We start from the raw sequence: 26,626 nt of genomic DNA on the forward strand, positions 1-26,626 counted from the left end.
GGAATCTATCAAAGTACTTGCATGGACTATTACAGATCATTGATGCATTACAGTAAGCCATTTGTGGATATTTTATGATATGTACACAGACTAACATCACTGGGATAGCAAAGGCTATCAGAATTTCACCTGCGTAATAACAGTCATTTGCAAGGAAAAATCTTATCAAAAATAAATTGATGATCTGTAGTAATGGACTGGGTTTTTGGTGGTTACTCATTATTTGGGGGACCAGTAGAGTTCATAGCATACTGACTAAATAGTGACTTTAGATCAGGATGTCTGGATTCCCATCCCAGCTCTGTGACTTCATTCAAGTTACCGTCTTTGAGCCTCACTTTTCTTATCTGTAAAATGGAAGTAATAATAGTACTGAGGCCTAAGGTATTGTGCAGCTTAAATATGATAATTCAGGTAAAGCACCGAGTGGTGCCAATATTCATTTACCACTTTTTATCATCACTTGATGTATGTAGATTGTCAGTGTCCAACACTTTTGGGAAGAAATGACACCCTTTAGAGTACCAATAGCAGTTGTATTTGTAAACCTCTTATATGGGTAGAGTTCTAACATATTTTTGCCCTTCTTAACTATTTTATATGCATTAATCTATTCCTCTGGAGAATCTTTGAAATAAAAGTTAGCTTTAACTTTTAAACACTTAAAATTGAGAGTTGATATACAGCTCATTAAAATAAATTACTAAAACTCTAGAAAAATAATAAACTATAAAGTTTTACTAATTCAAGGACTGCAGTATTGGGAAATATTGTGGAAACTAGTTATATAGAGAATAAATGAAAAATTAGAATATAGAGTTTGTATATATGACATGAATATAATTAAGCAAATATTAGGTTGGTGCAAAGTTATTGCAGTTTTGACATTAAAAGTATGGCAAAAACTGCGATTACTTTTGCACCAACCTAAATATACACATTTTAAGATTTATAGATTAAGTAACAGCTTGGGATAAGATGTTTAGATAAGTAAATGTTGTGATGAAGAATGGCTCTTTTTCCCTTTACTATCCAGTGTTTATAATGCTTCTGTAATTTTGTTTTGTTTTGTTTTGTTTTGTTTTTTTGAGATGGAGTTTTGCTCTTGTTGCCTAGGCTGGAGTGCAGTGGCGCAATCTCGGCTCACTGCAGCCTCCACCTCCTGGGTTCAAGCAATTCTCCTGCCTCAGCCTCCCAAGTAGCAGAGATTACAGGTAACCGCAACCACGCCTGGCTAAGTTTTTGTATTTTTAGTAGAGACGGGGGTTTCAGCATGTTGGCCAGGCTGGTCTCGAACTCCTGACCTCAGGTTATCCACCCGCCTCGGCCTCCCAAAGTGCTGGGATTACAGGCGTGAACTACCACGCCCGGCCCTATAATGTTTTTATAATTAAAAAATTTTAAAGACCAAACATAAGTTATCCATTCTAATCACTCAAAATGATTGACATTAAAAAATCATATTGAATATAAGTATGTCTTTTATTATAGCTAGGATATTTATTGAATTTATTTACAGACTGTTGGTTAAAATCAAGTAACTGCTTTGTAAATTAACTAACTTCTTAGATGGCTAAGAGCAAACAGAGTCTCTTGGTTTTATGTTTAGGTACCCAACCAAGAACAATTCTCTTGAAACTCTTAGTGTGTGACATTTTGTAGACATTTCATAAAGGAGCTTTTCAACGCCAGTGAGAAGTCAGCAACACAAACTTCTTTTGTGACCCATTCAGGGGATCCCAAGATCAGCCTGGTCTCTGAAGCGTATGAGGAGATATCCAGTTACAGCTCAGGGCAGGGGCAGATCTGGTTCATCATGTGATTGCAGTGACAGCCTGCCAAGCTCACAGCTGCCTTGCAGGAGATGCAGGCCCACCTGCCAGCCCCATTATTCCCATTTAGGCTCAGGCCCACAGGGACTTTTCCCATTAAACCCTGAAAGTCTTCATTTTCAAGAAGTTTTCAAAGTATCATGAAAGACTCAGCAGGGCAAATGATGGTGTGATTGAACCCACCTCAGTTTATTAAACAGCAGGACTGTTTATATGTTTCAGTTGGTCCTGCCCTTTGTCCATCCCAGGCTGTCCCCAAAGTGTCTCTTGAAACTGGACACAGTTTTACAATAAGCAAAGGTGATTTACCTAGGTAAGTCTTTGCCCCAGAAAGTGACAAGAAGAAAACTTGCTTTTTGTTCGTTTGAGGAATCCCATATGGTAGATTGACACATCTCATAGCAAATGTTCTTGTTGTTATGACCAAACGCCTTCCTAAATTAAAAAAGAAAATTAAATATTGACATTTTGCATATACAAAATTGTTGAACATGTAAAAATGCCTCTGGTACCGGAATATGTCTTCACACTGACAGCCCTACCCAAGACTTGTTCATCAATCCAGGAGGTATACCTCTATTTTGACATTTCCTTTAAAGGGAAATCCTTTTTTCTTTTTTCTTTTTTTTTTTTTGAGGCGGATTCTCGCTCTGTCGCCCAGGCTGGAGTGCAGTGATGCAATCTCGGCTCACTGCAAGCTCCACCTCCCGGGTTCACGCCATTCTCCTGCCTCAGCCTCCCGAGTAGCTGGGACTACAGGCGCCTGCCGCCACACCCGGCTAATTTTTTGTATTTTTAGTAGAGACGGGGTTTCACCATGTTAGCCAGGATGGTCTGCATCTCCTGACGTCGTGATCCGCCCGTCTCGGCCTCACAAAGTGCTGGGATTACAGGCGTGAGCCACCGTGCCCGGCCAAGGGAAATGCTTTTCAATGCATGCAATAAGGTGTAGGAGAGCAGGCCAGGCGCGGTAGCTCACGCCTGTAATCCCAGCACTTCGGGAGGCTAGGCGGGCGGATCACTTGAGGTCAGGAGTTTGAGACCAGCCGGGCCAACATGGTGAAACCCCGTCTCTACTAAAAATACAAAAATTAGCTGGGTGTGGTGGCGCATGCCTGTAATCCCAGCTACTCGGGAGGCTGAGGCAGGAGAATCGCTTGATCCCAGGAGGCAGAGGTTGTAGTGAGCCGAGATCATGCCACTTCACACTCTAGCCTGGGTGATGGAGTAAGACTCCGACTCAAAAAAAGGAAGTATGGAGAGCATTAGTCACTGAGACGTCTACATGTCATAGTGGAATATAAATCCTTTTGGATTCCTACATTGTTTGAGTAGATTTTTTAAATTTTGTATATTTTTAAATTGATGCATTGTAGTTATACATATTTATTGGGTACAATTTGATGTTTCAGTACATACCTGTGTTGTATAATGATCTAGCCAGGGTAGTTAGTGCGCCCAGCACCTTATGTATTTATTGTTTCTTTGTGGTGAGAACATTCAAAAGCCTCTCTTCTAGCTATTTGGTAGTATGCATGCAGTATTTTACTGTTAACTGTAATCACCCTGCTGTGCAGTAGAACACCAGAATTTATTCCCCGTACCTAATTGTAACTTTGTACCCATTGACCAACCTCTCCCCTCTTCCCGCTTCCCAGTCTCTGGTCACCACCATTCTTTTTTTTTTTTTTTTTTTTGAGATGGAGTCTTGCTCTGTCGCCCAGGCTGGAGTGAAGTGGCGCGATCTCGGCTCACTGCAAGCTCCACCCAGGTTCAAGGCCATTCTCCTGCCTCAGCCTCCGGAGTAGCTGGGACTACAGGCGCCCGCCACCACACCCAGCTAATTTTTCTGTATTTTTAGTAGAGACGGGGTTTCACCGCATTAGCCAGGATGGCCTCGATCTCCTGACCTCGTGATCCGCCCGCCTCGGCCTCCCAAAGTGCTGGGATTACAGGCGTGAGCCACCGCACCCACCATTCTTATTTGAGTAGATTTTAAAAATCCACTAAAGTTTATGGAGGCTGTTTAGGAAAAACTCTCAAACTGTTTTTCCTCTACTCTCACACTACAACAATCAACACAGAAGACTTCCGTGACCAAATGTGTGAGAGTTTTTCCCCACCAACAAGCAGCAGACACCAGGAAGTCCAGGCCTCCAGAACCTCTGACCAACCAGATTCAACTTGGGGTTCTTATGACTTTCCTTTTTTGGTTCAATTAATTTGCTGGAGTGGCTCACAGAACTTAGGGAAACACGCTTACTGGTTTATTATAAAGGATATTACAAAGGATACAGATGAAGAGATGCCAAGGGCGAGGTATGGAGTAAGGCACGCAGAGCTTCCATGCCTTCCCTGGGCACCACGCTCCAGGAACCTCTACATGTTCAGCTGTCCAGAAGCTCCCCACACTCTCTTGGGTTTCTGTGGAGGCTTCATTACATAGGCATGATTGACAACCATGTAGAAATGTGATTGAACAAAAAGGGTATGATCTCAGACTAACAGACTGAGTGGAGGAATCCAGCAAGGCTTGTCTGTTTAAATTCTTCTTGGCCTCTCTGTACAGCATTCTTTCCTTGAAGGTACGGGGCAAGACCCTCTCAGGAATGAGAGTTTTTTGACCCACAATCAGGTTAGAGTCCTGCCTGGGCAAGTAGAAGAAAAACAGGAGAAGTTCAGAGAGAGAGATTCTGTTTTCTAGGGTCTGCTCCTGATGCCTGAAGTGCCCCAAGGCTATAACAAATGACTGCACCAAGGGCTATTGGAAGTTATGAGCCAGGAACCATGGATGAATGCCTACACACACACAAAATCATAATATCACAGAGACCAACTTTCACTTTTCTCCTGCTGTTGTGCTATGTAGAATCATCGGTGGGAAGAAAAGCATTTTGCTATTTCAAATGTCCTCATATCCGAACTGATCATGGATAATATGTTGTTCAGGAAATCTGTCTGGCTCATTGGATTAAAGTTTGGATCTTACATTTTCTATAAAATATAGTATAATCAAAATAATTTTTTTTTCCTTTGGAGACCGAGTCTCACTCCGCTGCCCAGGCTGGAGTGCAGCGGCGCAATCTCAGCTCACTGCAACCTTCGCCTCCCAGGTTCAAGCAATTCTCCTGCCTCAGCCTCTTGAGTAGCTGGGGCTACAGGCATGTGCCACCACGCCTGTCTAATTTTTTGTATTTTTAGTAGAGATGGGGTTTAACCATGTTGGCCAGACTGGTCTCAAGCTCCGGAGCTCAAGTGATCCACGCCCTTTGGCCTCTCAAGGTACTGGGATTAGAGGCATGAGCCATCGTGCCTGGCCAATGAAAATAACTTAAATATTCTCTTTATTAGTCTAAAATTTATATGAAGTTGTAATTTGAGCCAAAGTAAAAACCCTTTTTTTTACTTTTTTATTTTAGAAATGAACCATTTTATGTACTTATTTATTTTTATTTTTTTAAGACAGTCTCACCTTGTCGTCCAGGCTGGAGTCCAGGCACAATCTTGGCTCACTCAGCCTTGACTTTCCTGGGCTCAGGCGATCCTCCCACTTCAGCCTCCCAAGTAGCTGGGACTACAGGTGTGCGCCCAGCTAATTTTTTTATTTTTTGTAGATATGGGATTCTGCCATGTTCCCCAGGCTGGTCTCAAACTCCTGAGCTCAAGCCATCCTTCGCCTTGGCCTCCCAAAATGCTGGGATTACAGGCGTGAGACACCACGTCTGGCCAAAACACATTTAAAAGGGATTTTTTTTTGTTACTGAATTTAAATAATTCAGAAACAACTTCAGAAGAAAGAATAAGCAAAGACCCCCTCCAGAGGATTTAAGGATTTTTGTTTTTGTTTTTGAGATGGAGTCTCGCTCTGTCTCCCAGGCTAGAGTGCAATGGCGTGATCTTGGCTCACTGCAACCTCCTCCTCCTGGGTTCAAGCAATTCTTCTGCTTCAGTCTACCAAGTAGCTGGGATTACAGGCATCCGCCACCATGCCTGGCTTATTTTTGTATTTTTAGTAGAGATAGGGTTTCACCATGTTGGCCAGGCTGGTCTTGAACTCCTGATCTCAGGTGATCCACCTGCTTCAGCCTCCCAAAGTGCTGGGATTACAGGCGTGAGCCACCGTGCCTGGCCAGATTTAATGATTTTAACCAGTGGGGTCATGTGGAGGCTCAGTGACCCCAGAAGGCAACTCACTTCCGTTTTCTACATGGGGTTGTCCAGGGAAAATCTAGCTCATAAGGAAGGATAAGCACAGGAGCCCCTTGATGGGAAGCCACCTCATGGCAGGGGAGTGGGGGATTGGTGTTGGGGGACAGCGGTTATTCACACTTTCCGAAGGAGAGGGGTTTCCATGCTATCTGAGCCCTCTGGCCATAAATTCCCCATTTGGATCCACTGGAAACACTGGGTTTGGCAATGGAGGAAGAAGGAAAAAGCTTTGCAGCCGAGAAGCAAGTCTGAGGGGAAGGGTGGGAGACCCTCCTGTCTTTGAAGATGTGAACCATTTCCCAGGGGCCATTTGCTCCCTGACACCTGTGCCACTTGGAACATCAGGTGGATCATCACTTCTAGAAACTCGAGTTGAATGGCTGTTTGAATTGTCTTAGGTCTGCAGCCTCCACCCTTGAGATGAAAAGGTTTTGTCTAGCCTCCCACACTCTCCCCCGGGAATCATGTGCTGTTAGTTCAAGGAACAGAATCTAAGATGATAAGAAGAAATTGTTCCTTCCACCCTTTCTTCAAGGTCTTTGAATTACTTTCGAAGGTCTTCAGCTCTTCATCCTCATGGCTTATCTTGTCTTTTGCTTCAGAACTTTCCTCTTCTTGTTCCAAGTCATGATCTGCCTTGACAGGTAATATCCTGAGAAGCTCCATTTCTTTCTGACAACGTTCATTCATTTCCTTTCCTCTGTCCTGAAGATTTTGAACTGTACTTTCAGTTGAGGTTCCCTCAATCCAAAGCTTGTTAAGATGATCTGTCAGGTCAGTTTTTGTGTCCTCTTTTTTAGAAATGTTGGCATAGAGTTTATTTTTCTCTTTCTTCTGGGTGTTGAGATGCACACAACCCGGCAGCATCTGTCGGTTTCCTCCTGGCTTCTCTTGCTGCTCATCCACATGGTCTCTGTCTCCTGTGTCCCAGTTACCAACTGTGTTCTCTTCTCCAAGGGGAGCTGCTAGGTCTTTAACCTTTCACACAGCTTCCTCCGGTCTTCATCTGACCTTCTGTAGAGACTCTAGAGCTCTGTATGAAAACCCTGAGTTTTTTTTCCTTTTGCCCTTAATAGTATTAAGCTTATTGTATTTTTTCCACTTGTGTCTTTATGGATTTAGTTTCTGCATATAGAGATTAGCTCTTTCTTGCAGTATCAGACATCGGCTCATCTTAATCTGTACATGGTGATTTTTCTTTCCCAAATTGGTTTATTATAAACCCGAGATGCACCAGATCACATGGTTGGACATGTTCAAGGATCTGACATTCTAGGCTTGTATCTTCTTCCATAACGGGGTAAAACCTGACGAGAGCTTTACTTTTACTAGAATTAGTGCTGAGCTCTAATGGCATGTTCTCATTTCTCTGTGTAGAAAGGTTTTATTTTTTGTTTGTTTGTTTCTACCTACTGAGAAATTCTGCCTAAGCTAAGGGAATTGTTAACACACCAGCTATCCCAGCACATAGTACCACCTTCTGTTAATAATCAAGGAGGACAAGACTTGGGCCCACATCATTAGATAATTCTGCACAAAACAATGCATTGTATCACAGGTTGGCCAAATGTATGGCTCATGGCAGGACAGTTTCTCTGTAACACCCCAAGCTGCCACAGCTGGGCCACAACACAACAAGAATATTGGGCAGGGATCTGCCCCAAACCAAGGTTGCACCCGGCAGCCAGAATGGACCATGAGTGGAGAGGGTCGATGAGGGTGCAGGCCTGGTCCAGGAGAAACTCACACCCTTAACCCTACCCATAGCTGCTGCTTTCCACTTCTTGAGCTTTGTTTTCTGTAGCCCTTGAGGCCACACCTCATCATCTGCACATGCTGTTCCCTCTCCCTGGAAAGCCCATCCCCTGAAAGCACACATGGGGACAATATCTATCTGCAAGCTCCTCACCCCTGTGACAGCAGTTCTCAGGGCAGGGCCAAGCATAGAGTGGGGGCTCAGTGCTCCATGCATTTTATGGAAGGACGAGTGAGTGATTGGGTGACAGGGACAAAGCCACATTTGCTGTCCCTGAAGGTTCACACATAATGCCCTGCTGACAGCATACCAAGCCTACCAGAGAGCTTTCACCTCCTTTCAGAATTCTGTGCTGGGAGGTGGAGAGAAGAGGCGGCAACAGCTTCTGGCCTGGGTGATCCCCGTTCCTATTCCTCTACTCAAGTAGATTTGAAAACAGCATATCTTGTGTGAATACTCAGTCTAAGTAGTGAGTCATAGGAGCAGCTGCTGCTGCTGTTAGAAAATGGGAGTCCATAGACTTTTCTACAATGCCGTGTGGAAACAGTGGAATCCAATGCAATAGAGTTGATGCTACAGAGAGAATATCAATGGCCTTAGGGGGCTTTAAAAAAAAATCCGGCCGAGTGTGGTGGCTCACGCCTGTAATCCCAGCACTTTGGGAGGCCAAGGCAGGCAGATCATGAGGGCAGGAGTTCAAGACCAGCCTGACCAATACAGTGAAACCCTGTCTCTACTAAGAATACAAAAATTAGCCGGGTGTGGTGTGAAGCGCCTGTAATCCCAGCTACTCAGGAGGCTGAGGCAGGAGAATCACTTGACCCCGGGAGGCAGCGGTTGCAGTGAGCCAAGATTGCACCACTGCATTCCAGCCTGGGTGACAGAGCGAGACTCAGTCTCAAAAAAAAAAAGAAAGAAAAAGAATTTCTGATGGTTATTTAGTATTTATTTACCATGGGTTAATCATTCATTTGCTTTATCTGTTTGTTCCATGACATGTCGTTTCTTCCTAACTGGTCTGTAGCTTCTTTCCTTTCTATCTCTTTTAGATTGCTGCAGATTCACATTTATCATGTTTCTTGACTTTGCAGGTACTTCTGGTGTAATCCAGGCCCTGATACCTGGCCCAGAGCAGGGGAAAAATAACTCACCGTTATTCTTAGCTCACACCTCTCCCACTCAACCCCAAGAAGTTAGTGCTGTTTTTACCAGAAAAGCGTGAAACCGTTTGTTTTTGAAGAGCCACGCTTATACTTTAGAAACAAGTGTAGCTGGAGAGAGGCCAAAGGCAGGAGAGAGTAAGCGGGTAGTGAGGGTGTAGGTGAGTGGAGCATGTGAATGGATGCTTCTCCCTAAAGTGTCTACTTTTCCCTCCTCCATGCCATTCGCTGCAGTGGGCACTAGCAAAAGTTTGAGTTTTGCTTCCACAGTGGAGGAAAAAAACCACAACATGTTAATTAAGAAGGTTGTGGGGTTTTGTTGTGGGAAGCTAGAAAAGCAGCTGACCACTGAAATTGAAGCTATTTACAGGAATTTGTAGTGTGAGCCATGTAAGGTGAGTTGTGGGGTGTGGGCCCTGTGCCCAGCCCTCAGTTACTCCTCTCCTCCGCAGTGACCAGCTGCATCTAGGATGAGGAAGGAAAGGAGCCCATGTCTAGATGACACCTGCTGAGCTCCCCCAGGACAGGCCTGCCTGAGCCCCCATCCCTGCAAAATCAAAGCTCTTCACCTGGGTTTCTGCAGGCCCCAGGAGACGGGCAGTGATAGGCTGTCTGCCTGGTCCCTTTCCTGTCCTTTTGCACTGGGCCCTGTGGAGAACTGGTTCTGTTGTAAGTTAAATGCCCCCATCTCTTGACCCTCTTCACAGACTGTTCCTTCAAAACTTTATGTTTCCACCATCTTGTTCTCCCTGCGCAAAGGAGAACACATCTCTGGTAGCCTTTTCTAAAGGAAGCTCTGTGCTTTCCCAAGGCTGGGAGGAGGTAATGGCCCTGCCTAGTTCCATGTTGCTGATTCTAGACACCTTCTTTTTATTCCTTGTACAGAAGCCCTTCCTCTTCAGGGGTCTGGCCACCTGGCTGGATCTTGCCCTCTCTTGTTCCTTGCAACTCCCATGCATAGCTCTGGCTCATTCCTCCACACTCATGGAGGCCTTGGATGCCTTTATTAGACGCTCCTCACTACCAAGGCCAGTGGCCTTCACCGCCACACCTGAGTTCTTGTTATCCGAGGAAACTCCTCCCCTGCTGACATGGAGCAGTGCTCTGTTACTGTCACTGCCTGTCCTACGGGTGTGCCCAGTGTACTTATTCTGCAAGAGAGAGACCTACCCAGTCTCCTGCCTTCATACCGTTCTTTCCTACCATCTCCACACCATGCATTCATTAGTTCAGCCATTTCTCTTGAAGTTATTTTGACTTCCATCCAAACTGATCACTCTCTCCTCTGAACCACTTCTGTGGCTGGCCCATATTTCTCTTAGTACCTGTTGGTTTACAGCTGGGAGGGGATTACTTAGGATCTGGTTGGGTCCGTAGCACCTAGTAAATCCCTTCACATACTGCTAGCATGGAGGGCATGCTTTGTTGAGCTGATGGAAACTATTGATGGGTCATTAACATTTGAAACATATTAGTATATTCAGTAAAAATACTGACAAAGGACGCAAATCTATGTCCCCCTTGAAAAAAATTATGCAGCCAGGCATGGTGGTTCACACCTGTAATCCCAGTACTTTGGGAGACCGAGGTGGGAGGATCACTTGAGGCCAGGAGTTCGAGACCAGCCTGGCCAACATAGTAAAACCCCATCTCTACTAAAAATACAAAAATTAGCTGGGTGTGGTGGCAGACACCTATAGTTCCAGCTACTGTGGGGCTGAGGCATGACATTTGCTTGAACCCAGGAGGCAGAGGCTGCAGTGAGCTGAGACTGTACTACTCCACTCCATCCTGGGCCACAGAGCAAGACTGTCTCAAAAAAAAAAAAAAAAGAAAAAAAGAAAAAAGAAAAGAGATGAAGGTCGTAGAAAAAATATTCATTCCAGAAATTCTACCATACGACTCTTTTTCCAGATTCAATTATGTAACTTAAACAAAAAACTATGATCAAAGTAATATATGCACATAATTTAAAAACAAAATAGATAAATAAGTTTTTAATGAAAAGCAACCATTCCCTCCTTCCCTACCTCTAGTCTTGAATTACAGGGTCAACCATTTTTAAATGTTCTGTTTTCAGTTTTTCTGGTGCTTACTGCCATATCTGTAAGTTTAATCTCAAATAGGGCTAATGAAAAACAGCCCTGAAAAATAATGAAGAGTCATAAAATATGTAATAATCATTGTTCACATGGAATCATTCTTACTAGTTTCATTATGAAAATCATTAAAAATATTCTAGACAAATGCCTTCTATGTAATGATATTGTTGAATTGAACATATTCATCTCTCACTTTTCTCTTTATCTTTTAGAGTTAGAAAGAAAATGTTTTTGAGATGCTTGTATATTTTAACAGTCAGAATAAAAGTGGTCTTTTTTTCTCCCCTCCCTTTCCTTTCCCATGTTCTCTGCCTCTTGTGAGTTACAGTATGGGAAGTTATAGCACCTGATTTGCAAAACCATGATAAGCACCATATGTAGCTCTTTAAAGCTATAGCTTACTCTGTCTTTGAATCCTGTCTCCAAAGCTGGACTTAGAAAGTGGCTGTCTCTCCACTCTAAGCCAGCATTATGAGAAACGTTATTGAGGAGATGCATGCTTTTTGAAAAAGGGCACAATCTAGATGCCTCAATTCGGAGTGCGAAATGGCTGCCTATGGTTGAAAATAAGTAGGTAGGTAGAGACTGTAGCGCATTTAATTAAAACTACTGTGCTAAAAAAAAAATTGTAGCAATTATATATTATTAACCTAAGTGGTGCCAAGGCTTTGAAGTTGTTTGCTATGCCCTTGATTGCATGCCCTCTGAGCTCGGCTGTTCAGTTATGTAGGTATTTAGAAGAAGAGCAACACAGTAAATTTAAGTACCAAATTAGGATCTTTGGAATTCTGTGCGACATATCTAAGCTATTGCTACATGAATCCAATCTTTTGCTGCTATAGTTAGACGGTGATTATGCTGTTTTTCCCAGCCCACTCCCCAATTAGACATTGTTTAGTTGATTGGAAAATGCATGTTGTATATGTCAACTAAAAACAGGTTGTCATTTTTGGGCTTAAATGGAGGAGTCTTTACTTTTCAGCTATAGTAAATGAATAAAGAAAGTGAAGACTGAGAAGAACTGTGCTGAGTCCATTATCATAAGAAAGCCAAGCTTTGCAAATGTAAGGCTTAGTAGTCATTATATGTGTGTCAGGCAGCTGGGGCCATCCCTGGCTAAGAAGAGACTGGAATGTACTGTTCTTTATTAATAACTCTGCAAGGTGGCAAGGGTTTCAGGGAAAAGAATAAAGTAAGTTTCGGGATCTGATTTTATAGTTTTAAGCTGTTCTCAGCTACAGTCACCAAATAGAAAAGGCTTATTGAGTGCCTCAGACATGCCTGACAGCTAGAATTTGACAGCTGAAAATGCCTAGGAATGAATGGTCCTATCCTCTCATTTTACAGAAAAGTAAACTGAAACTAGAGAGGCCAAGTGACTTGCCCAAAGTCCCTCTCTGACTGACTTGGACAAATCCTTGCATCACTAAGTCTGTTACACTTTACTTTTACTAGATCTGAACATTTTAATGCATTTTAATATCCACTATTTGTCAGAGCTTTGTTACTCTAATTACATCTGACATTACTATGGAGTTCTTTTGCATGTTAAGAAACAAAAGTCTTCATTTTTGTTTGTTTGTTTTTGAGACAGAGTCTTGCTCTGTTGCCCAGGCTTCAGTGCCGTAGCACAATCTTGGCTCACTGCAACCTCCGTCTCCTGGGTTCAAGTGATTCTCCTGCCTCGGCCTCTCAAGTAGCTGGGACTACAGGCATCCGCCACCACACCCGGCTAATTTTTGTATTTTTTAGTAGAGACGGGGTTTCGCCATGTTGGCCAGGCTGTCTCGAACTCCTGACCTCAGGTGATCTGCCTGCCTCAGCCTCCCAAAGTGCTGGGATTACAGGCGTGAGCCACTACGCCCGGTGCCTTCATTTGTTTACTGAAGTAAACATTTGTTGAACATTTGCTGTGTTCAAGGCACTCTGCTATTTTTCTTTCTTTTTTTTTTAAAGTACTGTACAGATTTTTAATGACATTTGCTTTCACCACACTTCAGTAAGACCGTTTCATCAGAGTAGTTAAAATTGTGAAATAGGTAACATTTGTGCTGCTGCTTCTCAACATATCACTCTCACACTCTCCCCCTCCTAGCAACTCTTCCCCTTTTCCCTGTCACAGTTATTGCTCTAATATTGGTAAAAGTCTCTTCGCTCATTGTAGCATCCTACCCCAAATGCTCCTTCAGGTAGCTCACTCTCTTTTTTTTTTTTTAATTATACTTCAAGTTCTAGGGTACATGTGCACAACATGCAGGTTTGTTACATATGTATATATGTGCCATGTTGGTGTGCTGCACTCATTAACTCTCCATTTACATTAGTTATATCTCCTAATATTGTCCCTCCCCACTTCCCCACCCCACGACAGGCCCCGGTGTGTGATGTTCCCCTTCTTGTGTCCATGTGTTCTCATTGTTCAATTCCCACCTATGAGTGAGAACATACGGTGTTTGGTTTTTTGTTCTTGCGATAGTTTGCTGAGAATGATGGTTTCCAGCTTCATCCATGTCCCTACAAAGGACATGAACTCATCCTTTTTTATGGCTGCATAGTATTCCGTGGTGTATATGTGCCACATTTTCTTAATCCAGTCTATCATTGATGGACATTTGGGTTGGTTCCAAGTCTTTGCTATTGTGAATAGTGCTGCAATAAACACACATGTGCATGTGCCTTTATAGCAGCAGCAGCATGATTTATAATCCTTTGGGTCTATACCCAGTGATGGGATGGCTGGGTCAAATGGTATTTCTAGTTCTAGATCCTTGAGGAATCGCCACACTGTCTTCCACAATGGTCGAACTAGTTTACAGTCCCATCAACAATGTAAAAGTGTTCCTATTTCTGCACATCCTCTCCAGCACCTGTTGTTTCCTGACTTTTTTATGATCGCCATATTTTTCAAGATATGGCTTGGTAGCTTAATATAAAATTTAGTGTTCAACTGAAGACTAGAGCCTTCTTTGGCTCCTTCTGATCAATAGCTTATCTCATATGGGAGTTATCAAGCATTCAAAGTATATTTCTTGGTACACATGCAGGAAGTGTGGTTGAAAAGGTTTATGGGATGTTTAGCCCTCTGCCGTCCAATACAGTAGTAACTAGCCACATTTGACCACTTAAATTAGAATTAACATTATTTAAAAATAATTAAAAATTTAGTTCTCTGGCCACACAACCAAATTTGGAAATGTACTGGACAGAGCAGATATATAACATTGCCATCATCATAGAAATGTCTATTAGACAACACAGTTCTATCCCTATTTATGCCAAAGTCACTTATAATGAGTCTAGATCTAGAAGTGAGATACCTGAATTTGAACTCCACATTCACGACTTGCCTTGTTCTATAAGCTGTAAGGTCTCAGGCAGAGCCTTTAACCTAGTAACCTCCCATTTCCTTTGGGTAAAATGAGGTTACATCTCCTACAATGTCCGTAAAATGCTTCCAGTTATACCTAAAGTGATGACGTAGACAAAGATAGAAGTTGGGGTTATTGTTAACTTCGTTAGCAACTAAAAAATATTAATACTTGATGATCTTTGCCTCTTTGCTTCATGGGGAATTCAAGGAATAGTGTCTCAAATTCTTTTGCTCTGTGGGAGCATTCTGCACCCTGCAATCAGCTGTGCCTTTATTCTTTAGTGTATCATGCAACAAAACATTGCCTTCTGCCAAACTTCCTGCTCAGGTTTGCTCTTCACTCAGTCAGATTTTCTTATAAGACTCAATGTGCTGTTATGGTTATGACTGTGGGCTCTGGAGACAATCACCTTGCTCTGCCAGCTCTGCCACATACTCATAGTGTGACCTTGGCAAGTCTAACCTTATTTTATCATCCATAAATGGGAGGGAGGGGGATTTATATAAAAGGACATATGCCATAGAGTTTTGTGGGGGTTAAATGATCTATTATCCATGTACTTGGCCTAGTGGCTAGAACTTAGTAAGTTCCTTATAAATTATTCTTGTTAATAATAATACGATGGTGATGTATTAATAATTTAGTGAATTACCTGTTAGGAGTATAAAGTCCAGACACAGATCTTGATCACCAAAAGATAGAATGTGTGACAGCCAAAGTTTTGAGGTTTACTAGAGGGACACTTTCTTACCTATAGTTGAACAACTCAGGGAAGCTGGTATGTGGTTCTTTCTCCATGTTACCCTATCCTCTGCACAGGGTCTCAAAGGCAAATAAATGCCTAGGAGAGGCAGGCAGGTAATACACAGGCATAAGGCAGACTGTGGGTAAGAGATTGCAGAGAATAGAAAGGATTTAAGTAGACTGGAGAATGTGTACCCTGTCTAAGTGGTCTAAATCCATTGCCAAGCATCATTTAGCCAGTTACAATCATGTGGGAATGGAGTATTAGTAAATGATGTTTATATGAAATCTCCAAATGTCAAGTATTGGCTTAGTTTTTATTTAAAACTCTTGTGTATACCAGACAGAATATGTTTGTGGGCTGACGCTGGCCCATGAGCCATCACTTTACCGTCTTTTCTTTAAGGCAACATTTCCCAGTGTCTTCCCAAGAATGCTAACGCTGTGGGTTGTTAATTTGGAATTACTTGGAAAGAAGGTCCTATAGCCAGATAAATTTGGGAAACCTAGTTCTGTGACGAAATTACATTTAGAAAATACTTTACCCTGGGTTTCGTTCCCAAAATTTATTTGATCAGAGAACCTTGCTCCCAAAGAAGACTAGTGAATCTCTCCATGGGGCTACACGAGGGAGATGAGTGTCAGTATTTTGGAGAATGACAACAACAGGGGCAGATCTCAAGGACCTCTTTTTATATAATAGACATAAATTGAATCTTAGTTGACATTTAGGAAGAAGTCATTAAGTTACTCACATTTTGTGATGCAAATGGAACCATTGAATGTCCATTTTGTTAGATTTTCTGTTTTTAAATAAAAGATCTTATCATCTGACACCTATTGCCAGAACATATGTGCTATTTGATGTGGTTTATATAGGAATAGATATTGAAATAATTGCTTTTGTTTGGAAATTAGCTTAATATGTTAGCATAAGAATATGTGCAGCCAAATTTAGGCTTGATAATATTATGAGAACTAGAGCAACTAGAGCAATGCTTATGAGAATAATGTTTGGACATGTCAGCTGTACTTTCAACTTTCCTACTCTTTCATTATTGCAATGACTTTTATTTGGCACAAAGGGATATTTTCATGTTCATCAATGAAATTTGTGTATAGTCTATGGAAAGAGGTGAAAAAAATTCCTCTAAAAGGAATTCAGTTAGCCTTCTATTTAGGCCGTAACTCCGACATGCTCTCAAGAATTCTTTTGGTAACAACCTCAATTTACCTTGTCTGCTATTTCAGATGTGTCTTAAAATAGCATAATTTCCCACAGTTTTATTAAAATTGTGGTGCCTCTCAACTTAGTAAAATGTTTCTGCATTAGATTTAATTTAATTGCATTTTCATGTGTCTTTATTCGGAAGCTCAAATTCAATTTGAGAACACAGTTAACTAATCCAGTCTTTCTGGGGATTTTATTTTGATTAGCCTTTGGATTTGGGGGAGGGAGATAGATTTTTTTCTTTGATGTTTTTCATAGGTATTTCTGGATATGAATATAGGAGTCAGAGAAAAAGAAGGCACAAAAGACTCACTCACCTGAAGCTGAATCTATTTCAAACACTGAGAATAAGAAAGCTTTGGGTACATGGAGTGGAGGTGTCTCACACCCTTGGCACAGCTGCTTCACTGTGATAAGAAAGCAGAGCTCGATTTATGCTGACTTTGTTATCTAACCAGTTTATCCTGCAAACTACTGGGGGAGAAAAGGAAGAAATTCCTGTGAAATACAGCTAATGTTGGTCTTTCAAAGCACACAAAATGAAAAGCTGTGAGCATGACGCAAACTTGCAGGGGGGACTCCCAACAGGATTTCCTGTGGTGGAAAGGAAGCTTGTTGGAAGGCTTTTAATTCATTCAGAAATGTGGAGACCAATATGGCTGAGAGCTGGGTTTCACAGTTATAGAATGTAATATAGTACAGTCAGCTCAGGACATCCCATTTCTAAGTTATAAGAGAATTACGCATTCTGTGTTCATTCTGAACAGTCATATTGTTAACTTGAATGAGAACATTTTCCTTGGACATTTAATGTATTCCCTTCTGATAATTTTAAAAGGTAATTGTCAGATAAAATGAACACTTCATTGGGCACTTCTGTCTCTGTTCCAATATGGGAACTTTCCTTAAATTAAAATTTAAATCATTCCAGGTTTTAAACTGAATGTGTTGCAGAGACTTTTAGGAGATTTACATTACATAAATATTACAAAACAGAAGGAAACTCTACAAACAATCCAGAATTATTCAATCTGGAATCATTTGAAATGATAGTATTAATCAAGACTCAAAGCATTGGTTATAAGCTATTAAATGTATATTGATGTTATTTTAGTTAATTTCTATAGTATCGTCACATTTCCCACTGTTAGATATTGTTTTAAATTTTTAAAAAGACAGAAAACATTTAAGTTTGAATGCATAGATACCTTTTGGTAAAAGGAATGCTAAGGAAACCTCACGTGTTTGCCTTTTTTGTTTTAAATTGGACCAGTTTAGTCTATTGGAAAAGATAGGACATATGTTTCATTTCTTACCTCTTTGATCACGTCATTGGTTAAGTTTCACTATTGTTTTTGCCAGCTTACTTAGAAGCAGCTGAGTTACCATTATTACATTAAAAAGTACTAAAGTATGATATGCCATACCTTAAAACTTCCTCAAGAATGAAGTTTACCTTCTCAAAAATAGAACCAGGCTGGGCACGATGGCTCACACCTGTAATCCCAGCACTCCTAGCACTTTGGGAGGCAGAGGTGGGTGGATCACTTTAGTTCAGGAATTTGAAACCAGCCAGGGCAACATAGTGAAACCTTGTCTCTACAAAAAATACAAAAATTAGCTAGGTGTGGTGGCATACACCTGTGGTCCCGGCTACTCCAAAGGCAGAGGTAGGAGTGCCATTGTACTCCTGCCTGGGTGACAGAGTGAGATCCTGTCTCCAAAAAAAAAAAGGAACCAGGTTTGCTACATAATAGGAATATTACAAATTGTACTTTTGTTGTTAAAAGAAAAACCTTAGACCAATTAAATTTAACAGAGTTTAATTGAGCAAAGAACAATTCACCAGTCGTGCAGCTACTGAACCAGAATAGGTTCAGAGAGACTCCAGCACAGCTACTTGGTGGAAGTTATGGACAGAAAAAGGAAAGTGGCTACAGAAATTGGAAGTGAGATACAGAACCACCCAGATTGGTTAACACCTCCGCGTTTGCCTTATTTGAACATGGTTTGAACAGCTGGCCACCTTTGATTGGCCAAAACTTGGTGATTGGCACAAGAGTAGGTTACAGACTGTTTACACATCCAGTTAGGTTACAGTTCATTATGTACAGGGAAACCTTGGGCTAAACTTAAAATATGTAAGGAGGCAGCATTAGGCTAAACCGAATTTAACAATGTGTGCATGTGATTTTAAAAATCTCTATATTATATATGTTTGTAAGTTTAAATAGAAGCTATGAAGTGACTCCTTATATAATAAATGTAAGGTATCTTTGCTCCAGTGTATCTGCCTTTAGAAATAACTCACTAATAAATATGAGGCACTGAACTCGATGCAGAAGGCATGTTACTGTCAAAAAACTTTCTAGAAGCTTGATAGAGCTCTTAACAGGGTTTATTTTGGGGGAGAGCATGTAATAAATTGTAGTCTTAAACTGTTACAGATTTCCTGATACCTCCAATGGACTATTCTACCTTTAATTTGGTAAATAAATGATGTTGATGACAACAGCTTTGCAGTTATGAACTAAGCAATGCCTTATGTCTCCGTTTGCCCTTGCTTTTTTCTTTTTCTTTTTCTTTTTCTTTTTTTTTTTTTTTTTTTGAGGTGGAGCCTCGCTCTTTCACCCAGGCTGGAGTGCAGTGGCACGATCTCGGCTCACTGCAGCCTCTGCCTCCCGGGTTCAAGCGATTCTCCTGCCTCAGCCTCCTGAGTAGCTGGGACTACAGGTGCGTGCCATCACGCCCAGCTAATTTTTTGTATTTTTGGTACAGACAGAGTTTCACTGTGTTAGCCAGATAGTATCAATCTCCTGTCCTTGTGGTCCACCCGCCTCAGCCTCCCAAAGTGCTGGGATTACAGGCGTGAGCCACCTGTGCCCGGCCATGCTTTTTTCTCTAATTAAAAATAGGGCTGGGTTTGGTGGCTCACACCTGTAATCGCAGCACTTTGGGAGGATGAGGCGGGAGGATCAGATGAGGCCAGGAGTTCGAGACCAGCCTGGGCAACATGGCAAAATGCTGTCTCTACTAAAAACACAAAAAATTAGCCAGGTGTGGTGGCATGCACCTGTAGTCCCAGCTACTTGGGAGTCTGAGGCATAGAATAGCTTGAACCTGCAGGCAGAGGCTTGCAGTGAGCTGAGATCACGCCACTGCATTCCAGCCTGGGTGACAGAGCGAGACTCTTATCTCAAAAAATAAATAACAAAGAAATTATTGTTTAGGGTTTTGTACTATCAAACCTAAGTAAAAAAACAATGTATGCTAAAGAAAAGGTTTATGTATAACAGGAGTGAGCAGTAGAGGTGATAAAACACATCTCTTTGAGAATGTTTATAGATTATGACCTCTCAACCACACTTGTGCACCTATTTTTTTTTTTTTTAAATGAGAGACAGTTCTGACCTGCTGGTTTGGGTTGCTGCTATGTGGCTGTTCAGTCATTTATTTGCCAGGCATTTTGGAAACACTTATTTACTATGTGCCAGTTACTGTCCCAGGTGCTAAGAATTCAAAGGTTAATAGAATTAAGGTCCTTGCCCTGGAGAAACCTCATAGTTGCTCTTCAAAAGCAGTATTCCTAATATGGTTTGTTCTTGCTTCTCCATACTAAGAGGTGAGGAACCCCAGGGCAAATAATTTCAACACTGGATAAATCTGTAAAGAAAAAATGAGCCATTCCCAGTCCTGCACCATGTTTATGCAAGTTTATTTTCCCCAGTTCTCCAAAATGTAAAGTCTCCCTGTTGAGTTGTATTGTCTGGTCTGATTTTGGTACATGCTGAGCTCACCCCTGTCTTTCTGCCTTTATTATAGCTTGTTCCTCCTTCCCCTGTAATCTGAATTCTACTTGTGCTTTAAAGCTGAGCAAAATGTTACTTTGTCCACACACAGTGCCATTTCTTTCTGGTTGTTCCTGCTCAGCCTGAGCGCTCCATAATCTTGGCCTATCCATCATTGACGTCACAACAGGTTAGCCCTTAATCACATATTGTTTTGCACATCTTGTTTGTTTTTAGTCATACCTCCCCAACTGGATTGTCTGAGCTTTAATGGGACAAACTGCTACTAACCACAGTTTGGCCTCCCAACTTTTTGAGGAAGAAAGCTAGACTCTAGCATTTGATGGGTGGCATTTACAAATTAATGAGATTTTAAAATTAACTGGATTATCATCAAGTTTCTACCCACATGAGTAATAATCAAGCTTGAACTCTAAATTAGAATTGTTTAAGCCCTGTAGGTTGTCGAGTTTAATTTAACATCATCTTTATGCAATAAGTCACCTAACATTGTTCTTCATGAAAATTTAAACCAGGGATTGGCAGCTCACTGGACTTGGCTTGCAAGCTTGCCTTGTTTGGACTTTATAGTACTTGCAAAATCAAGACATGTTTTACAGAAATTTGGCTGGGGAGTGTGGTGGCTCACGCCTGTAATCCCAGTACTTTGGGAGGCTGAGGTGGGCGGATCGCTCGAGCTCAGGAGTTCGAAACCAGCCTGGGCAACATGGTGAAACCCCATCGCTATTAAAAAATTTATTTAAAAACATTTTACAAAAGTTGAGATCTCTAGTTTGTCTGAAATAACCTTCCCCATTCCAATGAACTGTAGGGAAAACAGCTAATTTTCAAAGAGCCATGAAAAAGGCAAGTAACAACAAGATTTATTGAATGTTTACTATGTTCTAGACACTATTCCAAGAACAGTATTAACCCTCACAGTATTTCTAGTAGGTAGATACTATTATTAAACTTATTTTATAGATGAGGAAGCTGAAGCTCAAAGAGATTAATCAACTTAATCTCCAGGGTGTTTCAGGGTCACAATTTGTAATTTGTGGAATGGAGATCCAACCTAAGCAGAAAGCAGACTAACCACAGTTACCCATAATCATGCTTTTACTGCCTATTCAGAGAGACTGGAGGCATCTGTTCAAAAGTCTTCCCTAAAATGATGGACTAGATTTGGTTATAAAGTAACTAAATCCATTTTAATATGTGCAAGTGGAACAGTTGCTTATTTTTCTATTTCCTCAGTTTGCAGTTAACTTAATTCTAAACTTTGAAACAAAATGACAGCTGCATGAAGAGACCTGCACAATCCAATTGCTTAAAATTAGTTTGCTTGCTTATTATTATTTTGATTAAAGACTTACTATTTTTGTCACATTTGCTCATTTCCTAGGGTTATAGCAACCTCAGTCTTCCTAAACTGAACTGATCTTTGTTTTCTCTGGATTCTGTCTGTACTTTTCATTTGGTCATTCCATCATATCTTTTGTTTTAGTCTTGACCTCCCAATTAGATTGTAAACAGTTTAAGAATAGCACAATTCTTTATTTCTCATCTATGTATAATGTAACAGAACATTTAGAACAATTTTTACAAAGTTGGTTTTTACAGGTACTGTATGTCTGAAATGATACTAGGATTAAACTATTATATATATATATATAAAGTGTGTGTGTATGTGTGTTTGTGTGAACTATTATTTGGGAAAATTTTAAGCACGCTTTCAAGTAGAGAGACTAGTACAATGAATCCACATGCACTCATACTCAGCTTCAACTAATGTGTTTTTTGTTGTTGTGTCTTGTTTTGTTTTGTTGAAATGGAGTATCACTCTGTCACCAGGCTGGTGTGCAGTGGCATGATCTCTGCTCACTGCAACCTCCAGCTCCTGGGTTCAGGTGATCCTTCTGCCTCAGCCTCCTAAGTAGCTGGGATTGGCGTGCGCTAATTTACAATTTGCAAATTGTAAATTTGTATTGTATTACAAATACAATACGTTTTTGTATTTTTAGTAGAGACAGGGTTTCATCATGTTGGCCAGGCTGTACTTGAACTCCTGACTTCAAGTGATCTGCCTGACTCAGCCTCCCAAAGTGCTGGGATAACAGGCGTGAGCCACCGCGCCCAGCCTGTTTTTTTGTTTGTTTTTTTTTTCTTTGAGACAGAGTCTCACTCTGTTGCCCAGGCTGGAGTGCAATGGCAATGGCGCAGTCTTTGTTCACCGCAACGTCTGCCTTGAGACAGAGTCTCACTCTGTTGCCCAGGCTGGAGTGCAGTGGTGTGGTCTTGGCTTACTGCAGCCTCCGCCTCTCAGGTTCAAGCAATTCTCCTGCCTCAGCCTCCTGAGTAGCTGGGACTACGGGCGCCCGCCTCCACACCTGGCTAATTTTTGTATTTTTAGTAGAGACGGGGTTTCACTGTGTTGGCCAGGCCGGTCATGAACTCCTGACCTCGTGATCTGCCCGCCTCGGCCTCCCAAATTGCTGGGATTACAGGCATGAGCCACCACACCCAGCTCCAGCCTGTTTTTTTAAATTGTGAAATACACATAATGAATATTTTATATACTATATATATGTAGGAATAACAGTTAAAAAATAAACTCCATGTTGTGATCACTTAAGAAATGAAATGTTATCAATACTCCTAAATCCCCTGGAATGCATTCCCTTCCCTCCCACCCGAGATAACTCCCACCCTGAATTTTGCACTAATTATTTGTGACTGAGATTGCCGCATTTGTTTGTACACCAACAACTATGCTCCTTTCTCCTTTAGTAATACAACTCCCCAAGTTTTAACTGGATGCCCACCTTCTAAAGACTATATTTCCCATGTTCCCTTGCAGTTATATATGAACATATCAGCAGGTTCTGATCACACATTTCTGTTCACAGTGATGTGAACAGAAATATGTGCAACTCCCGTGTTGTGTCCTTAGAAGGATTGTGCTCTATTCTCTCTTCCTGTTCTATTGATTGGAATGCGAACATGATGGCAGGAACTGAAGCAGTGTCTTAGAGACTATGAGATGGAAGTCAGGTGTTGAGGATGGAAAGCAAAAGGATTAAATAACTAGGTTTTATTCTCTCCAGCTGTATGTGGCACTGTCCTTGTCATTTCTCTTCTAATGTGTCCTGGTAAGCTTTACTTACACAGTTTTAAAGATTTATTTTTAACAAAGTAACATGGTCACATGTTCAAAATCCACAAGATATTAACATACAGAGTATGGCTGGGTGCAGTGGCTCACACCTATAATCCCAGCCCTTTGGGAGGCCGAGTTGGGAGGATCGCTTGAGTCCAGGAGTTGAAGACCAACGTGGTCAACTTTGGGAGACCCCCATCTCTACAAATATGTTTTAAAAAATTAGCCAGGCATAATGGTACATGCCTCTGGTCCTAGCTATTTGGGAGGCTGAGGTGGGAGGATCACTTTAGCCAGGAGTTTGAGGCTGCAGTGAGTCACAATTATGTCACTGCACTCCAGCCTGAGTGACAGAGCAGGACCCTGTCTAACAAAACAAAACAAAAATACAGAGAAACAGAGTGAAAACTTTCCGTTTTACCTTTGCTGCCTGCTACCCTCCCCCAAAGGCAAATAGTACAACCAACTTCTTTTATATCTTTCCAGGAAAATTTATGTATCAGTATGTGTTTTAAATATAATTAGATTATAAAATTTAGGAAATAGTTATAGTTCCTAATCAGAAATGTCCGAGGGCCTTTGCTTTGGGCCATGGTTCTGGGTTTTATCTTAAGTGGCAATTTCAGTATCGTTAGTGCCTTCCTAAAGGGCTGCTGAAAAGAATTCTGAGGCATGTTGTGTTCAGTTAAAAAACAAAATGTTATGATCATTTATCAAAGTCTGCTTTGGGCACAGGAGTGGGTAGTGGCCACATGTGTCCAGGTTATCTGATGACTAAGCTGTCATTCTCTTGAGTTCTTTGAGTTTAGTTGATGAGAGCTGAGCAAAGAGGAGTCCCAGCACAGTAATATCGGATGGTCCAACTATCTGAACTGCAGTAAAGGACGAGAGTATTTTGAAAAAGCCAAGTGCATGTGCCAGAGCTTATGCATTTTACATACTGGGGAATCTGAAAGCTCCTGCCTAAAACTTCTTTGGTCTTGATTTATACAGAGCTCTAAACTAACAAGTTTAATAAGTCAGCTTCCTAATTCAAAGAACAATAGAGTCAGTACGTCGGAAAGGAGAAAAAGAGTACTTGCTATATGTAAGCCATGAACAGAAGTAAGAAATAGACAGGATGACAACACAGGAAGAACTTAAGCCACAGTAGCCTGGGGCCATTTAATGGAGGAACAGACACTCTCACATACTTCAGTAAACCCTTTTGCTATGTTGGAGCTATAGCACAGCAAAATGCAATAATTAGTGTTTATGGAGATGCGCCTGAGTCATCAGGATGGTGTGCTCAGTGCGCTATATTTAAAAGGTTAGACTCAATCAGACCCATGGAGGAATGGTAGCTTGCAGCCTTGAAAAAACAGAATAAGCAACTGAGAAGCCTAAATTGATACAGTTGTGCAGCCATCACTGCAATGCAGGTGTAAAATATTTTCATTACCCCTAAAAGTTGGCCCCCTCATCTTTATATGCAGTTAATCCCCAATCCCACCCCAACCCTAGGCAACCAATGGTCTACTGCCTGTCTCTATAAATTTGCCTTTTCTAGACATTCATATAAATGGAATCAAATAACATGTAGTATTTTGTCCCTGGCTTCCTTCACTTAGCCTGTTTTGAGGCTCATCACATGTATCATGAGTCAGTAGTTCATTTCTTTTAATTGCTGATTAGTATCTCATTGTATGGATTTTACATTTTACTATGTATAAGTCCTTTTTTTTAATAGTTCTTTTTTTGTTTGTTTCTGGTTTTTTTTGTTTTGTTTTGAGACGGAGTCTGGCTTTGTCGCCAAGGCTGGAGTGCAGTGGTGAGATCTCGGCTCACTGCAAGCTCCGCCTCCTGGGTCCACACCATTCTCCTGCCTCAGCCTCCCGAGTAGCTGGGACTACAGGCGCTGCCACCACGCCCGGCTAATTTTTTGTATTTTTAGTAGAGACGGGGTTTCACCGTGTTAGCCAGGATGGTCTCAATCTCCTGACCTCGTGATCTGCCCGCCTCGGCCTCCCAAAGTGCTGGGATTACAGGTGTGAGCCACCACGCCTGGCTGATTTTACATTTTACTTATCCATTTACCTGTTGTTGGATATTAGATTATTTTCAGTCACATTTGCTTTTGGGTTAACAATTGTTACCAAGTAACAATCATGAAGCTAAAATGATGATACAGAATTTCACAATTTGTTTTTCTCAGGGCTCCTTAATATAAAAGACTCCATTCCATATTCAAATTTGAGAAATACTGTTTAGGCATGTAAAATGTATCAGCAGTGTCCTAGTGACTATACTCACCCACTTTTAATTTTTATTATTTGTATTTTTTTTTTTTTGTGACTGAGTCTCACTCTGATACCCAGGCTAGAGTGCAGTGGTGTGACCACAACTCTGTTTAGCATTTTGAGGAACTGCCAAACTATTTTCCAAAATGGAAACACAAATTGTGCCTCGTTTTGTGTTCCCACAGCAGTATGTGAGGGTGCTAATTTCTCCACATCCTCACCACTACTTGTTATTATCTGACTTTTTAATTTTATCTATCCTAGTGAATGTGATATGATATCTCATTGTGGTTTTGATTTGCACTTCCCTGATGGTTAAGGATGTTTAGCATCTTCTCATGTACTTATGGCCATTTGTGTATCTACCTTGAAGAAACATATTCAAATTATTTGCCCATTTTAAAATTGAGTTAGCCAGGTGTTGTGGCTCATGCCTGTAATCCCAGCATTTTGGGAGGCTGAGGTGGGTGTATCACCTGAGGTCAGGAGTTCGAGACCAGCTTGGCCAACATAGTGAAACCCCATCTCTACTAAAAATGTAAAAAATTAGCTGGGTGTGGTGGCAGGCACCTGTAATCCCAGCTACTAGGGAGGCTGAGGCAGGGGAATCGCTTGATCCTGGGAGGTGGAGGTTGCAGTGAGCTGAGATCACGCCATTGCACACCAGCCTGGGCAACAAGAGGGAAACTCCATCTCAAAAAAAAAAATTAAAGTAAAATAAAAAATTGAGTTATTTGTTTTTACTGTTGAGTTGTAAGAGTTCTTTATATTTTCTAGATATAAACTCCTTGTCAGATATATGATTTGCAAATATGTTCTGTCATCCCGTGTGTTGTCTTTTTGCTCTCTTGATGGTGTCCTATGAGGCATAAAAGTTTTAAACTTTCATAAAGTTCAACTTATTTTTTATTTTGTCATTGTGGTTTTGGTGTTATTTCTAAGTAACCATTGCCTAACCCAGGGTCATTGATATTTACTTGGAATTTTATCGTCC

General features: G+C 41.3%; 1 protein-coding gene and 1 pseudogene across 4 annotated transcripts in view, besides 1 other annotated feature; one reads left to right on the plus strand and one right to left on the minus strand.

The window, feature by feature from the left end:
• The window catches only part of SRGAP1 (SLIT-ROBO Rho GTPase activating protein 1), a 317,518-nt gene that overhangs the window by 36,511 nt on the left and 254,381 nt on the right, over positions 1 to 26,626 (plus strand). The window lies entirely within an intron of this gene.
• Positions 6,169 to 7,388, minus strand: LOC100419700 (MIA SH3 domain ER export factor 2 pseudogene; annotated as a pseudogene).
• Positions 16,605 to 16,805: a silencer, noted in NCBI's record as "peak1758 fragment used in MPRA reporter construct". NCBI's record gives its function as "represses an SCP1 promoter by STARR-seq MPRAs in K562 erythroleukemia cells {active_cell/tissue: K562}" and the evidence as "EXISTENCE:reporter gene assay evidence [ECO:0000049][PMID:32103011]".

Source organism: Homo sapiens, chromosome 12 (assembly GCF_000001405.40).
Source record: "Homo sapiens chromosome 12, GRCh38.p14 Primary Assembly".
NCBI lineage: Eukaryota > Metazoa > Chordata > Mammalia > Primates > Hominidae > Homo > Homo sapiens.